Source organism: Homo sapiens, chromosome 2, assembly GCF_000001405.40.
Source record: "Homo sapiens chromosome 2, GRCh38.p14 Primary Assembly".
In the NCBI taxonomy this organism is placed as follows: Eukaryota; Metazoa; Chordata; class Mammalia; order Primates; family Hominidae; genus Homo; species Homo sapiens.
Genome location: NC_000002.12, coordinates 222,050,478 through 222,067,583, shown reverse-complemented (window position 1 = coordinate 222,067,583; position 17,106 = coordinate 222,050,478). Strand labels below are relative to the sequence as shown.

The 17,106-nt window shown below is 40.0% G+C and overlaps 1 annotated feature.

The window, feature by feature from the left end:
- Positions 13,973-14,734: an enhancer, noted in NCBI's record as "OCT4-NANOG hESC enhancer chr2:222917569-222918330 (GRCh37/hg19 assembly coordinates)". NCBI's record gives its function as "activates a minimal SCP1, AML or CMV promoter by ChIP-STARR-seq in naive H9 embryonic stem cells {active_cell/tissue: H9 hESC(naive)}" and the evidence as "EXISTENCE:reporter gene assay evidence [ECO:0000049][PMID:30033119]".

The window sequence follows — 17,106 nt, the reverse complement described above, 5'->3', positions numbered from 1 at the left end:
AATCCATGGGGTCTGGGTTGGATAGGAAAGTATGTCCCTATGAAAGCATAAAGGAATGAAATGACAGGGAGGGACTGAGAACTGGAATACTCACTGAAAGCCATGAGGTCAGGAGAGGTCAAGGATGGGTATACTGGAGTTAAATATGCCCAGAGTGAGACTGTTCTGGGCAATGACAATGCCTTGAGAATGGCCAGGGGAGTGGGTGGCTAATGAGTGGTAAAAGATTGCTGTAATTATGGAGATTTTGAGCAGAGTATGTCAAACATATTGTCAAGGTGGGTGTTGAGGTCATCCATGATGACAACAGGATGAAGACAGAAGACTGGATTAGACTCAGTTTCCAAAGTTCTCAAAGGGAGATTCCTTACGGCTTCCAGGAGGAAGGTGCAGAGGATAGAATAGAAAGATGGGATAAACTGCAGCTAAGAAAGGATTTTGTGTAAGAATGGAAAAGTAATGGCTAACAGGTGACAATGGGGAACAAGCAGCATGAGGACAGCGATTCTGAGGCCTGGCTGTGTAAGGAGTTGGGGGGCCGGGAAGGGAGCAGTGCAGCATGTTCCATGCTGCTCCCAGCCATCAGTTCCTGCTATGAGCTCTTGTGTTGCTGCCTGCAAGTCACACTGCTTCTTTTGCCTCCTAGCCTGTCAGTCCTTCCCATGATCACTGGCTGTCACTGTGCTGAACTGCTCCTCATCTGCAGCCTCTACAGGTAGCACGTCTGTTTCAGCCCTCTTGCCTCAAAGCCCATCAAGCAGGATGAGACCCTTAATGGTCAGTGGGGCCTCCAGTATTTGAGAGATGCTCAGTAACTGTTGGTGTTCTTGCTTCCCATCTCCTCTTTCTCCTTGTAAGTTTTGTAGACTGGAGAGTAGAGTTCATGCAGACTGGGAGACGCAGAGGGGAGGGGGCTTGAGAAGAGTCTAGAGAAATATTACTCTATTTTTAGTAGAAATGGGGTTTCTTCATGTTGGCCAGGCTGGTCTCAAACTCCTGGCCTCAAGTGATCTGCCCCCCTTGGCCTCCCAAAGTGCTGGGATTACAGGCGTGAGCCACTGTGCCTGGTCATATTCTTGTATTTCTTAGCTATCCATGTTTAAACATGTCCCAGACACTTCTGTACTTCATTGCTGAAGTGACATTTGGCTTCCAGCATATATAAAGTGGGGAAGCATTGGACACTTTAAACCTGGAGAGTGACAGGATCAGCTTTGTGTTTGGGGAAGATAATTCTATAGACATATAAAAGTATGAATTGGGGCTGGGCGCGGTGGCTCACACCTGCAATCCCAGCACTTTGGGAGGCTGAGGCAGGGGGATCACGAGGTCAGGAGTGTGAGACTAGCCTGATCATTTTTAGTAGAGACAGGTGAACCCTGTCTCTACTAAAAATACAAAAATTAGCTGCATGTGGTGGCGTGTGCCTACAGTCCCAGCTACTCGGGAGGCTGAGGCAGAAGAATCGCTTGAACCCAGGAGGCAGAGGTTGCAGTGAGCCGAGATTGGGCCACTGCACTCCAGACTGGGTGACAGAGGAAGACTCCATCTCAAAAAAAAAAAAAAAAAGTATGAATTGGCAGGCGAAAGGTTAGCAACGAGGAGGTAAGTAAAGATTTAATTGAGCTTTAGAATGGTTGAAAAGATGCTGATACTTAGGGTGATTTGGAGTACAGCTAGGTCTGGATCAGAGAAATTGGTGGAAGGTGGTTTCAAATCATGCAGGCACATAGGGTTAAGAAATGAAATCAGCGTGGGTTAGCACAGAGGAAAAGGAAAGAGGTATGAGAGTTATTTCTTCTTGTAAAGATGGAATTCAAATTGGGTTACAATTACCTTATGTGATCATTAGTTTCATTATTCAGTTATTCTTCTAATTCTTCCAGTTGTTTGTTCATATGGTTCTGTTTAACTAACATGGGAACTTTGACTAAAGTTTCATACCAGTTGTTACATCAGTAGCCAGGAACTAGAGAACTTTTATTTGTAAATTAAGAATATAAGAACTTTTATTTGTAAAAAAATTTCTTTTTTTTTTTTTTCTTTGAGACAGAGTCTCACTCTCTCATCCAGGATGGAGCACAGAGGCACCATCTCAGCTCTCTGCAACCTCCATCTCCCTGGTGGAGCAATTCTCATGCCTTAGCCTCCCAAGTCAAGTAGCTGGGACTACAGGTATGCACCACCACGCCCAGATAATTTTTTGTATTTTTAGTAGAGACAGGGTTTCTCCACGTTGGCCACTCTGGTCTTGAACTCCTGGCCTCAAATAATCCGACTGCCTTGGGCCCCCAAAGTGCTGGAATCACAGGCGTGAGCCACCGTGCCTTGTCATATTCTTGTATTTCTTAGCTATCCATGTTTAAACATATCCCAGCCACTTCTGTACTTCATTGCAGCGTGTTCCAGAAATCCAGCGATTTCTGAATTGGTCTAAAACAAACTATGAGAATGTGTAGCTGTCAATATTGTCTATCTATCTATCTATCTATCTATCTATCTATCTACCTATCTATCATCTGTCTATCTATCTATCTGTCTGTCTGTCTGTCTCTAATATTATAGATATAGCCAGATTGAAACTGGGAGGCTGGAGTGAAGTAAGGGAGAAAGAATTGTGCACATGCTATAACAGAGCTTGCCAATACACAATAATCCAGATTTGTCCATTATTTAACTGCTCCTTGGTCAAATTTCTTCTGGGTGGTGATATAATTTTATTAGATAAGCCTTTGACTTGCAAAAAGGAAATTATTGATTAAATGTGTGTTTTTGTAATAAAGGCACATGGTTCTATGAGTGTCTTAGTCCATTTGGACTGCTATAATGAAGCACTGTAAACTGAGTGGTTTATAAACAACAGAAATTTATTTCTCACAGTTCTGGAGGCTGGGAAGTCCAAGATCAAGGTGCTGGTGGATTGACTCTCTGGCTTGGGCCCATTTCCTGGTTCATAGATGGCACCTTTTTGCTTTGTCTGCATATGGCAGAAGGGATGAACTCTGGTCTCTATAGCCCTTCTTAACAACACTAATCCAATTCATAAGGGCTTCACTCTCAAGACCTAATCACCTCCCAAAGGCTACACCTGCTAATACCATCAAACTGGGGATTAGGTTTCAACATAGGAATTTCGGGCACACATGAACATTCGCAATTAACAAAGCCTCTTTGTTATAAGTTCAGGCCTGCCTTAGATTCTTTTGAAAATGGGGAGAATCTTCTTACATGAGGCTAAGTACATTTGATAAAATGTGCTTTAGGAGCAAGATCTTATGGAGGAGTAGAGCATGATAGTTCACAGGTAAGGATTAGATGGCCCCTGTTTGAGTCCCAAATTTCTGTTTCCTAAGCAAGTTAATTGTCCTTTTAAGCTTCATTAGTTTCATTTGTGAAACAAAATGTAAAATAACAGAATCTACTTCTAAGAGCTGTTAGGAGAATTAAATGAGATAATATGTACCAAGCCTTGCCACAGTGTCTGGCACATAGAGGGGTCTCAACATTACTGGTCATCAGTGTCCCTTTTTACAGAGATCTGTAGAGTTTACAGTAAGAAAAATTACTTTTCTGTTCAGCACTATAACTAGAAAATTTGCAAAAATTTGGAGGAGGAAATGAGATGGAGATACTTCTAGATAGAAGAGCCAGAAAATTATTGCAATGGAAAAGAAAAGATTAACAAAATTGATAGTCATCAAGGTGCTGGAAAGTGAGAAATAAATCAGTAAGTCACTGTCTATCTATGAGCCTCACTTTTATCACTAAGTAAAATAGGGACAATATTTCCTGCTTGGCTCATAAGGAAAATATAAGTATCAGATGATAAAAGAGGAGGCTGTGAAAGTGCTTGGTAAGCACGAAGGGGTGTAAACATATTGCATGAATGCAGGTGTTTAGGAGATGACAAAATGCCATCATTCTCAAAAACCCTGCAAATTACGAAGGACTATTTTTTGACTTCCACAATTTGAGAAGAACAATTTATGTGGAAACCTATAAAACAATCCAGGAGTCCAATGTTTCATGTTGTTTACTGATATGATATGACAGGGAAGGCCTGGGTTGGTCATTGGGCCTAGATTGTGTTCTTTAGTTTTCTGATTGTTTGAACCAGGAACAAACCTAACCCTAACCCTAACCCTAATTCTAACCCTAATTCTAACCCTAACTGAGACTAACTGAGAAGTAGACCCTCTGGGTCTACTAACCCTAACTGAGACTTCATCCCTATGGGTCTACTTCTTTATCTGTAAAATAATTTCTATCTTACAGGGTTGTTTTCAGGACCAAAGACTTGGTAAAAGATCCAAAATAAAATGTCTTAGACGAAGAATCCATTGATTATTTTATTCATTTGAAATGCAGATATTTTGAAAATTAGGTGAGGTAAAGCGTAACAATTCACTGCTCCTCCGCAGGATGGAATATTAGGCCACCCTGACCACTCATGTTTGTGAAGAAAATTTAAAAATATGGGAAAGTTTATGAAATAACAGCAAGTGGGTAAAAAGAACATGCATAGGTGTGCACACACAGAAAGGGAAACTAAGAATATATACACCAAAATGTCTACAGCAATTGTTTCTGATTACTGGAATACAGGTTTTTATTCATTTATTTTTTTTTACTTCTTTAAAGTTTCCTGCCTTTTCCAAATTTTTTAAGTAATATGGACATGTTGCTACTTAGTAGGGAAAAAAATTATTTTACTCTGTGTGTGTGTGTGTGTGTGTGTGTGTGATGACAGGGTCTCACTATGTTGCCCAGGCTGGTCTCCAACTCCTGGGCTTAAGTGATCCTTCTGCCTCAGCCTCCCACAGTGCTGGAATTACAGGCATGAGCTACTGCATCTGGCTGAAAACAGTTATTTTTAAAAAAACAACAAGATAGTGCATGTCGAAGGTGTGCGAACAGTGCCAGGCACACACTGAAGAGGCACTCCCTAGATGTTAGTTGAAGCTGAATGCAGACTCTTAAAAAACAGAAATTGTGGAGGAGGGCTATATGTTCAATGCTCTGCCGTCAGACAGTTGTTCAAAGGAAATGAATAGAAAGACAAGATCCATCAACCGTGCCACCGCTATGAGGCCAGCACATAAGCCCTGAAGTGGATGTTAGGAAAAACCTTGACCCCCTAACCCTGAACGGGTGCTGTGACTACTTCTACATCCTTCAAGACAAACAATTAACAATTAAGCTGCTCTTGTTCTGGGTACAATCAGAACCACGTGAAGGATTTAAAATATCACTGAGATGATATGTTACAGAGCAGCTGGCTGACTGGAGGGTCCTGTAAATGTCACAAAGAAACTTATACCAATAGGGAAGGCAGGAGACAAAAATAATAACAATAATTCCTTGCACTCACGTGACATCTTTCATCTGAAGAGCTCAAAGTATTTTACAGATGTTATATCCATTAAAACTTAGGCAGCAAGCATTATTCTCCCTGGATTACAGATGGGGAAGGAACTGTAATCCTGTCACTTAGACTAAAACTGGAATAAACATGTAATTATCTTTGAGGGGAAATCTTTCTAATGTAACCCTTTCCTTCTGCAGTTTCCTATTGCTTCTGAGTGAGTAGGACAGGTCACATCCTTGGGCCTGGAATATCTGCTGCAGGTATCCAAACACTGAAATGAGATCACCTCTCAGTCTTTTTTTTCCAGACGAAACATATTTAACTTTTCAAGTCTTTCTTCAGGAGCCTAAGCGTCCCTTTTCTCATTTCCCTATAACCTGGGGATGGTTTTCAAGTTGAGTAACTAAAACCAGTGCCTCATGCTTTGGCCCAAATTGATCAGTGACTTTACCTGAATAAGCTGATAGTCTTGAGGTTAGATTTGTGTTTTTGCAGCTGGGCCTTCCACGAAGATACACTGTTTTGATTATGGCATTTTTCTGATAAGGCAGTGACTTCCATTTCCGATTTGCACAATCTTCTTGGTTCCTTTTTTTCTTTGATTTGGAAGTTAATCTTTTAAAAATGTGAAGTAAATTGACAATATTGGAAAGAAGAAAAAATATTTAATTCTGTTGTCTACGTAACAACTATTACTATTTTTGCATATTCCATTTTGTCTTTATTCATATTAATCTTTTACGATTGTCAAAGTAATATTGTATATGTCATTTTGTAGTCTTTAAATTGCATTCTGCTTTTTTAAAATTAATTTTTCTTTTTCTTCACTCTGTGACTCTAGCCAAAGATGCATTCTGCTTTTAAGATCACATTATATTATAAGCATTTTTCTCCACTGCCTCTTACATTAATGACATGTCATTAATATACCACTGGTTATCATTACTGATATATTTAATATTTGGATCTAGCTCTGATCCCTATTAATGTTTGGTTATGATTTAGCTTAATGAAAAACCCTGGCCATTGGCTACAACTCATTTTTTTTTTCTGCTCATAGATTTTAACTTCTTTCCCACCGTTTCCCAAACTGTGTTTTTTTCATGATCTCTATGTTAAGTTGTCTTAGCTTGTAAATTGAGATGGTTTCTCTCTTTTGCCATCATATGAACAAATAAACCTGCATAAACTAGGTTTCCCTCTGTGCCCTACAGGAAGATGGCCTCTTGTCTGTTAAGTCAAAGCACTGAAATTATCTTCTTTAGCCGTTAATAGTCCTTGATCTTTTTCCAGGGTAGGATGTACTTCAGTTACACGGCTGGGAAAGAATTGTTTTTTTAATAGAATGTAGCTCAGTGAAAACTTTGGAATTTAAGTTTTTGGAAAACAACTAAGAAAAGCAAATTTGTCACAAGATTAGTTTCCCCGGGGTGTCTCTCTCCTGCAGCCCTTTGCGTTGTTTACGTTTGCGTGAAGTAGAATGAGGGAGAAAGTGGTTTCAGGACATACCTGACCCGCAGCTCAAAAAACTGGACTGGATTCATCCGTAGAACTGCTTCAGATTATGAAAAAACGAAACCTTTTCAAGTGGGAGATAAAGTAATGGGAAGTGGCTGGAGAAAGGTAGGAATGCAGACAGTAAAACAGCACAGAGTGACTCTGATTAAGATCTTGGGGAATCTGAGACATCAGGTTCTGTTTTACCATGCCCTCCACCTAGTGCCTCCTTCCCTCTCTGCCCATGATTTAGTTCTGGCACTTTCCAGTAACTGCTGTCGTGAAGTAGACCTGGCCCAGTTCACTTTCCATCTCTTATCCTTGAAGGTTTATGGGTAAGGCCTGCCTATCTGCAGGCAGGTTTTGGTTGCTGTGAAGCTGAGACACTGTTCTTGCTGGAGACCACCTGAGAGTAATTAAGCAGCCTCTCCTACCTAGAGCTGAACCAACTGGTTCCAAAATTATATTTTCCTGGAACATCTTGTTGAACTGGAATGCTTTGGCGGTTAAGAAACCACTGCTCACACCTGAACAAATCGGTCTGTTTTTCCTGAAATGTAGTACATGTTCACCTCCTGGCACACTAAGGTAAATGGCAGATCCAATTGTCTGGCTTAAGCAGAATGTGGTGAGATCATTATATCATCATAGAGCCTGAAGCTAAAGATTGCAGAAAATCAAGAGCTGTACTGATTGATTTGTAGTCTAATTATATAAGCAGGCCAGATGAAAAAGTCCAGAAAAAGAAAAGACTAGTGGGCATGTTCAAAAGTATTGGGAAAAGGTGCGTCTACCTCCAACAAGGTTGATTTTCCAAAGAAACAAAGTTTTTGAAATATGAAATAATTCTTTTTTTCTTTTTTTGAGATGGAGTCTTGCTCTGTAGCCCAGGCTGGAGTGCAGTGGCGCGATCTCGGTTCACTGCAAGCTCCGCCTCCCGGGTTCACGCCATTCTCCTGCCTTAGCCTCCCCGAGTAGCTGGGACTACAGGCGCCCGCCACCACACCCGGCTAACTTTTTTGTATTTTTAGTAGGGACGGGGTTTCACCGTGTTAACCAGGATGGTCTCGATCTCCTGACCTTATGATCTGCCCGCCTCGGCCTCCCAAAGTGCTGGGATTACAGGCTTGAGCCACCGTGCCCGGCCGAAATATGAAATAATTCTTACATGGCATGTATAAAACACACACACACACACACACACACACGCACACACACACACACACACACACACACAAACGAAATCTATTGCCTACACCCTACCCCTTCTCTTGGAAAATAAGTAAACTCTTTCAGGATTCAGAGTTCTGGTCCATACTTTCATACCATTATTATTATTTTCCACTTCTTTTTCTCTGGGTAAAAGCCAATAATTCTGTGCTAATTTGTAGGGCAATCTGAGAAAAAGAGAATGTCAGACTTAATTCCAAACAAATGCTTAAAAAGCACTTAACCAAATGTATCTTTGAAAATGTTTTTCCTGTATCTAGATCTAAAGATAATAATTTTTTGGAAAAAAGTACAAAAAAGAAGCTTTTAGGAAGACAAATGTATTAGAACAGGAAAGCATTATTTTTTTCCCTAACACTCCATTTCCAGGGACTGAGTTGGCTTCTTACTTTCTTTTCACTCTGTGGAAAACTGCTCTTGGAATGTTTCAAAGAACCACAGTGAGTGAGTGCCAAGTGCATTCTGGAATTGATACCCTCATCCCCTCCCCGCCCTGGAGAAAGAGTCTCTCTCTTAGCCCATAGAGCCATGCTAGAGAATCCTGGGGACGCCACCTGCAACCAATGGTGAACTGCATGAACTTTGGTGCTCTGGGACTTGACACACTGGCTAGGAATATTAGACACAAAAGCCAAGGCTTTTCAAATACCATGTGGATATATATATTCCTCCAACAGTAAGCAGATAAACACAGCCACAGGAAAACCAGGAGACAAGACAAACTCCTTTTGTGATCTAGCCTCATTTCATTCATGTAAGCTCTTTTGGGTTTTGGCTGATGCCAGCCCACTCTTTTCCTCTGGCTGCCCTCCCCTGCATGGACCCATACATCTCTGCCCCAAATCAATAGAGTGGTACAAATATTAACAATAGCCTCTTGAGCTTTGAGAATTTACTGCTCCCCACCAACCCAGCTTTTTTTCCTGTTCTTGTTGGAAAAAAAATCCATGTCATTAGGAGTCTTGTATTCTTGACAATCATAACTTTAGGAGATATAATAAACCTTTTTGAAGGTTGATCGATTCTGCGATGAAATTTTAGAATGGGGGAAGCTAAACACATGTTTGGCTTTGGATGGTAAATGGAGGTGTAAATATTTACAATGAACAATCAGATTTCCCACGCTCAGAGGTAGGGTTGTCACTCACAGCTCCAATGGTGATTTCTATCAGAGGCAGAGAGAATGGGGATACTACCTCCTCAATGACAACCATTCAATCTGATTCCTTCGTCTGGATCCAAATGACTAATAGAGTAGCTTGCACTCATTGGTTCATTGTATGTGACACTACATGCAATATACAAAATTATGAAAATTAACACAGTGGTATGTGTTTTACACCAAGAAATACAACAGTAGGACTTCAGTACTCCTGGAAATATATCTTTTTTTGTGCTTCTTGCTAGTACATTACTTCAGATGCTAATGTAAGAATGTGCTTATTTCAAGAGACAGTTTTAAAACATAGTTACATTTTATTACTCCTTTAAAAATGCTTCTCACCAATCCCATATCACTGAGAAGTGTGTTGGTCCAATGTTTTATTGAGTGCAGCCCTTGTCCTATTTATGACCCAGGACTGATGCACCAGCCTATAAATGTGATTTCTCTGAAGCAGTGGAGGACAAGTATCTAGCTGCTGTGACAGGAAGACATGTAACACAATAATTTTGCTGCTCTAAAAATGCTTCTGTTGCCGGCATCCCAGATAGGAAGCAAGGCTTCCCATGGATCATGCATTTGCTGGAAAAGCACACCATGTTTTGAAGAAGCTAGTTCTAATTGGTGCGAAACATTTTGAATTGCTGAAGTTCTAATGGACTTGAAAAACCCCCTGGAGAATCGAAGAAAGAACAAAATGATGTAATGGTCTTTAAAAGATAAAAACGGAATGAAAAAAATGCTTTAATTTATTTCAGAAAGATATGTCAACGCTTAGTTTTTGTGGATAAAGTTGCCAGATAAACCTTTCTCAATTTGGGGGTGGGAAATGGAGGGTGGAGGGGGGGAGTAGAATTTTGGGCAGAAAGAGGACTAGCAAACAATTAGTGCCATCTAGTGGTTGTATAGAATAAAGACAGATTGTTTTCGAGAACTGTACTGTAGTATCACAGAAATGTACAAGCAGGCTAAATTACAGTTCTTAGATTAGGCTGGCTTGAGTTTATATCTCCATATATTCACTAATTAATGAACTTCAAGTGATGTGGCAACAGTTGAAATTAGTTTTGATAGTTAAGCCTAAACAGAAAAGAGTTGCACTCTATATAGAAAATAAGCCCTTTGACATGTTTTAATTTGTCATGTTTCAACAAAGTCCAAGTTAAAACTACCATGATATTTCAAAAGGAAAACCTACATCTATTTCAAAGTATGCCAGTGAGAGTTTTCTGTTACCTGGAAACAATAAACACGTTCTAAAGTTAGGCTACTGAACTGAAGGTCTGCTCAAGAAGAGCAGGACAGAATCCAGTGGTCCAGAAATTTGGATGGGAAAAATTTACATCTTTATTTTCACTACTCTAAATCTGAAATTTAGCATTTCCTTCAATCAAGAACGTCAGCTGCAAACCACGGTAGTGTTAGCAATACCTGAGATTTCGACACCAAAAGAAATGAGACATTTTCATGTCATTACATATGCTATTCATCTACTAAATAACAGCAATGATCAGACCCTCACACCAGTTCTTGTTATTTAACAGGTAATAAAGAAGCAAATATGTTATCTTGTTGTACATTTAGTTTTAAAAACATTTAAATAACTATTTTCACAGTAATTTATTCTCTTCGTAATCCTATGTATTTTATTTAAAGCATTATGAGCATTACTCTGACAGGCAGCCTATAGGTTTTGTTAGACTGATGAAGGAGTTCATCTGCGAAAAGGTAGAGAACCCTGATCTAAAGAGATGGCTCAATCATGAAGTTGAAACACACACAGTTTAGTAGTTAAGAGCTCAGTCTCTGAATCCAGTTGCTTGGCTTCAAACCCTACTTTCTGGTTGTATCTTTTACTTAGCCTGCCTGTGCCTCAGCTTACCCATGTACGACACCCATCTCACAGGAGAGATGTGAGGTTTCAATGAATGGACACATGTAAAGTGCTGGAGTGAGCACTCAGCCCTTAGAAGTTCTCAGTGAGTATTAGCTCTCATCATTATTGTCAATGCAATTATTAAGTTTAAAAACTTCTTGCCAAATCATTAAGATAAATGATCTGAATTTGTAATCTAGACTGACAGCAGTTTTGATTAACAAGCATGCTTTGACAAGTATTTTTCATTTAGAAAAAATATTCTTTATACTTTTAGGCTAATATTTGTAATAACCTTAAGAGTGTAATAGCATCCCCACTCTCAGAACCTCAGATAGTTTTAAGTGTTCGATTCAAAGTCATATGGATGAAGTGGCTAGAAAGCAAATTAAAGTATTTTGGTAATTGTTTTTCACTCACTGAATCTTAAAAATCCCAAAGCTTTAGGCATTCTCCAACTGTACTTAAAAGATAAGGCTTTTTAGAAGTCAAGAAGGATCCATATCTAGATGTGTAGACAGATCTAGTTTACAAGACTAAGCTAACCTAATTTGAAGGTTAATCTCTCAGATGGGAGGGAGAAAGAATAAACAGAACATTCATACATATGAACTCATCTGATCTTTACAAAACCTGTGAATCATGTTCTTTTTCCCTACAAAAATATTTTAAGTGTATTGTATGTTTTAAACATTTGAGAAAAGAGGAGTGAACAAGATAAACAAAGTCCCTGCCCTCATGGAGTTTAATTTCCAAAGATGATGAGGAGACAGGTAAGAATGTCCATTTGGCTGATAGAGAAACAAGTGTTAAGGGATAAACAACCCACTCCCTTAAGTTCCCTTAAGGGATAAACAACCCACTCCCTTAAGCTATTGCATCGCAGCAGATTCGAACAGAGTTCTTGCTAATGGCACCCCTTTGATAATTCCGCTACACTTTCAGCTGCCTGCTGGGAAAAGTTCAGGCATGCTTTTGACAGTGAAGGCACAGCAGTAAACAGGCTGCTCCTGCCACATTACAAAAGTGAGTATGACTTTCTTATTTTTGTTTGTCTGGGATGCAATCGGATTTTAGTGGAAAGGCATTGAAATTGACATAAAAAAATCTGTGTTAGGTTCTTAACTTTGCCATTTCTGAGCATATCGCTGATTTTCAGTTTTCTCACCCCCACCCTGGTGAGAATTAGAGGCATCTCTTGAGACTTTTGCAAGGATTAAATAAGCCAATGTTTATGAACATCTAGAAAAGAGGTTGGTCCACAGAAGGAAGGCAATAAATCTGTAGAGATGATGACACTGAGTATCTAGTATTATTTACTTGTGGAATTAACCGAAAAGGCATGGTTAATGCCTCATCTCCCCCTTAGGGAAATAGCTCTAGTCCTTGTTTAACTTTATCTTACTCTCTAATATGGGAATGATAGCATCTGCCAAACAGGGTGGTGATTAAGGATTAGCAATAGACCATAGAATGCACCTAGTACAGTTTCCAGCATAGAACCAGCATTCACGAAATTGTAGCAATCACGATTATTACTGTTTATGAGTCTAATAAAGCACACATTCCTAAGAATGTAAACTGTTAGAAATTTGGATTGAGATACTGTTGATGGTTTTATTACAAAGACTGAAATGTCTTATTCAAAAATCCTGAAAAAAAAAAACCATGGAAAAGACTAGAAAAAACACTAGGAAAGAAGTCAAATTTAAGTATGGGTCATTTTTCCTTTGTCAATTGGGAGTTCATAAGATTTTAAATGCCCCTCCAAAAGCATATCATCACATTTCAATATTTTTCTGGCTTTATATATAATTAGAAATCATGTATATTCTATAGCTCATGAGGTACTGGAGATCTCTAGGAGAGAAAGCATGTTTATGGGGACAAGATTCTTCGGCTGCCTTCACAATTATCTGATAAATGTAGGTCTAGCTTCATCCATGTACCTGCAAAGGACATGAACCCATTCTTTTTTATGGCTGCATAGTATTCCATGGTGTGTATGTGCCACATTTTCTTTATCCAGTCTATCACTGATGGGCATTTGGGTTGGTTCCAAGTCTTTGCTATTGTAAACAGTGCTGCAATAAACATACGTATTCTCAGCAAACTAACACAGGAACAGAAAACCAAACACCACATGTTCTGACGCATAAGTGGGAGTGTAACAGGGAGAATTCATGGACACAGGGAGGGGAACATCACACACCAGGGCCTGTCAGAGGTTGGGGCGCAAGAGGAGGGAGAGCATTGGCATAAATACCTAATGCATGTGGGGCTTAAAAGCTAGATGATGGGTTGATAGGTGCAGCAAACCACCATGGCACATGTATGCCTATGTAACAAACCTGCACGTTCTGCACATGTATTCCAGAATTTAAAGTATAATAACACACACACACACCAAATTAAAAAAAAAAGTATTGTCTAAAGGATGAGCAAAATAAATAATTTTTTTTAAAAAATGTGGGTCTAGCTGGCTGTGGTGGCTCATGCCTGTAGTCTCAGCTTCTTGGAGGCTGAGGTGGAAGGATCATTTGAGATCAGGAGTTTGAGACGAGCCTGGGCAACACAGTGAGACCCCTGTCTCAAAATAAAAATAAAAATAAAAACAAATAAATGCAGGTTCAGCAGGACTAAATATTTAAAACTGAGAGTTTGGCATTGCAGGCACAGACTGTTGTTAAAGGAAGTTAAATGGGAAGGGAGTTCTTCATTTCTAAACATTACTTGAGAAACCAGAATTCAATCTAAAATACCTGGCTTCATGTCCTCTTTACAAAGGTACCTATGCATAGGACTGGATCTAGATTTACTTCCGAACTCAAAGCATGTTGCCCTACAAAGGAGTGGGTTGGTGATAATGAACAAATTATGGGCATCATCCTTTCAAGCTTTCTTTTTGGGTGAAGAGTGATTTTCCTCTCCCAAAACACACAGGCATGCACACTTACACACGCACCCCCTTCAGTATGCCATCAGCTGTTCTAATTATGGGGTAATTGGCAAGATAGAAGCTCAACCTTCATTGCATTCTTCAGGGAGAAACAAGGGGCTTCCTCTGCTAGAGGGAGTTAGTGGCTACATGCTGAGCTATTCTTTTAAATGAAGTGAATTCTGGCTCTGTTTTAAGAAGCTCCTTGGGGCAAAGCCTTGGAGGCAGGGTTCGGGGTTTTATGAGTTGCTCGCTCCAGGATGCAATCAGAGTTCCCACCCCTCCCTCCTGGCTGCTTCCTGGAACTCCCCTCTTCTGGAATCATTGCCTATTTCTGCTCCTTCTGAGCCGCTCCCAACTTAATTAGAGCACTCTTCCCTCCGCACCAGACCCAACAACAGATCTCTTGGTCTCTAATTGTGACTCTGGTTAAATTGCCCAGCGGGAGGTTGGTTGCCCAAAGCCTGCTTCGGTTCTGCTGCGCGTCAGTGCCCCTCCACAGGTGAAAGACGTTACTGCAGTTAACCCTTGAGGTTTAGACTCCATCTTAGGGAAAACATACAATTAAAGCTATCAGAAAATTATGACAGTCAGGCTCACAAGCAGATAGGTTGAAGGAGAAGGAGAAAGAGGAAGAGGAGAGAAAAGCAAGAGGAGGAGGAGGCAGAAAGGAAGGGCATATTGTAAAGTTTGGAGTAACTGTTTTTATTTGAATCTTAAACATAGGTAATTATGTTGAAAAAGATACTGCTTAGGCAATTTTTGTTTCAGTGGATTAAGAAACACCAAATAGTTTATTCAATTGTTCAGAGTAGGAGCATCTTTCAATCCTCATCCTCTAGTTAATTGCACAATTCTGCATTTTTACGTGGTGTGGAGGGTGTAAGCATACTCATCAGAGCTTCTGACATACACTCACAGTAACACAACAAGAACCAGGTTCTCCTTATGCCTGGGTGCCCCTTGGCTGTAATTTGGGTGCCTTGGAGAGTTGCATAATGTCCCTTGCCCAACACTACAGTTGATCAGTCAATCACAGGGGTTTCAGTTACATTAATTCTTGTACATGTTCTGTGTGTACATCATCTATATTTCAACACAGTCAGATGAACCTCACAGGCCTTAGCAATCCATTGCATACTCAGGTGATTTTGGTGGAGGTAGAGTTTTGCAGGCCCCTGGATCCTTAGGAAAAAGCTAAGAAGGCAAATTGGTCTTTGGCACCTTCTCCAATGCTCTGAAGGGCTCCCTGCCCACACCTTCTTTAAAGACCTTTGGGAACCAAAATGATTTTTTGTCTGTACCAGTCAAGGCTGCCACTTTACAACAGCTGAGAGCAGTGTCAGTTGATTGATCGTCACTGTGCATGTGAATCACCTGGGGGTCTTGATAAACCACAGATTCCGCATCAGTGGGTGTGGGGTGTGCGGGACAGACTGCATTTCTCATAAATTTCCAGGTGCTGCTGATGCTACTGGTCCTTCCTGGACCACACTTTAAGTAGCAAGGCAATCAAATCATCTGATTAGAGGGGTTCCTTTTAATTAAAGTGTAAAAGAGTGTTAGGCCCAACACAGCTGGTGTTTGCACGTTAATGGGAATTGTATTTTTTTTTAGCAGCCCTTGGAGATTTCTTTTTTTTAATACTTTTTTTAAATTATAGTTTAAGTTCTAGGGTACATGTGCACAACGTGCAGGTTTGTTACATATGTATATACATGTGCCATGTTGGTGTGCCGCACCCATTAACTCGTCACTTACATTAGGTATCTCTCCTAATGCTATTTCAAGAAGAGCAGTGGAGTGAACCATAGGCTTCCTTTAGAGCTTCCTTTTCTATAGTGATGAGGTGGGAGGGACAGAGTTAATTTCTGGAGAATTGCAAAGGTGTTTCTTTGGCTTTCAATCTCCTTTCTGTGTCTGTTTCTCTCTTCCCCTACTTGGCTCTTTTTTTTTTTTTTTTTTTTTTTGTATACTCCTTTTCTACTGTGTGGTTCAAGGACATGAAAAAGGTTCAGATTTTGTGATATTAATATTTAAATATTCTTTTACATGATAAAAATGTTTATACATTCTTGGTATTGGACAGGTTCCTGTCCCAATATTACCGCAGAATTTAGTTACACATATAGCCTATTTCTTGACCAAGTGCTTAAGTACTTAAGTAGCCAGTATTAACTTCCCCAAACTGGTAAAACTTCAATAATTTTAGAGATAAAAGCCCAGTAAAAAAATTGATTTAGAAGTTTGTGCTGTTATAAGTTGATCAATATTAACTTAATAAAGATTTTTCCTCTAGTACGAAGATTACTGGATTGGAGCCAAGAGAGTTTCGTTCCGGTTCCACCCCTAAGGTATCTAGCTGTGTGGCTGTGAGTAACAGCAATAGAAGCTACATCTCAGCATTCCCAGTTGTCAAACCTATTTATTAGTTGAACAAACATTTATTGAGTACTTATTATGAGCTTGTTAAACATCTAGTAACTACCCAATGTTTAAGTATTGATTAAGTTCTTATGTATTTTTATGCGATGGGATTTTTTTGAAGTTGCATGTATTTGCTTTTGGGAAGTGATTTAGGCACATGGAGTAATAGCTGTGGTTCTTGCTCTGTGATCTTCAATGTGGTGGGAGGCAGCCCCCTCCTATTTCCTGTTGCTTTCCTAAATCTGAGATGATGTCTGGAAGCCTTGAAGACTCAGCAGGCTAGTTCTTGTAGCAACTTTGTGTATTGGGTGATGGCCAAGGAAGGTGTTCAGTTGCACATAAATAAATCGTGTCTAGTGAGTGGAGCTGTTATAACTTGGGTGGGCTAAACTGCCAGGGATTCTGGCACTGGCCAAGAGGAAGTGTTGAAGAAACCTAGTACCAGATGGAAACAGGTTAGGGGGCTTTTTTTCAGCCAAAGGTCCCATTCCAGACCCAATGAATGGAGCAATGTGCAGTGCCAGAAAGGTCAGCCACATCATGGCTCTGGAGGATATATGTAGATTGGTACCACTGACAGCAGCTGGGAATATAGGGAACAAGCTACC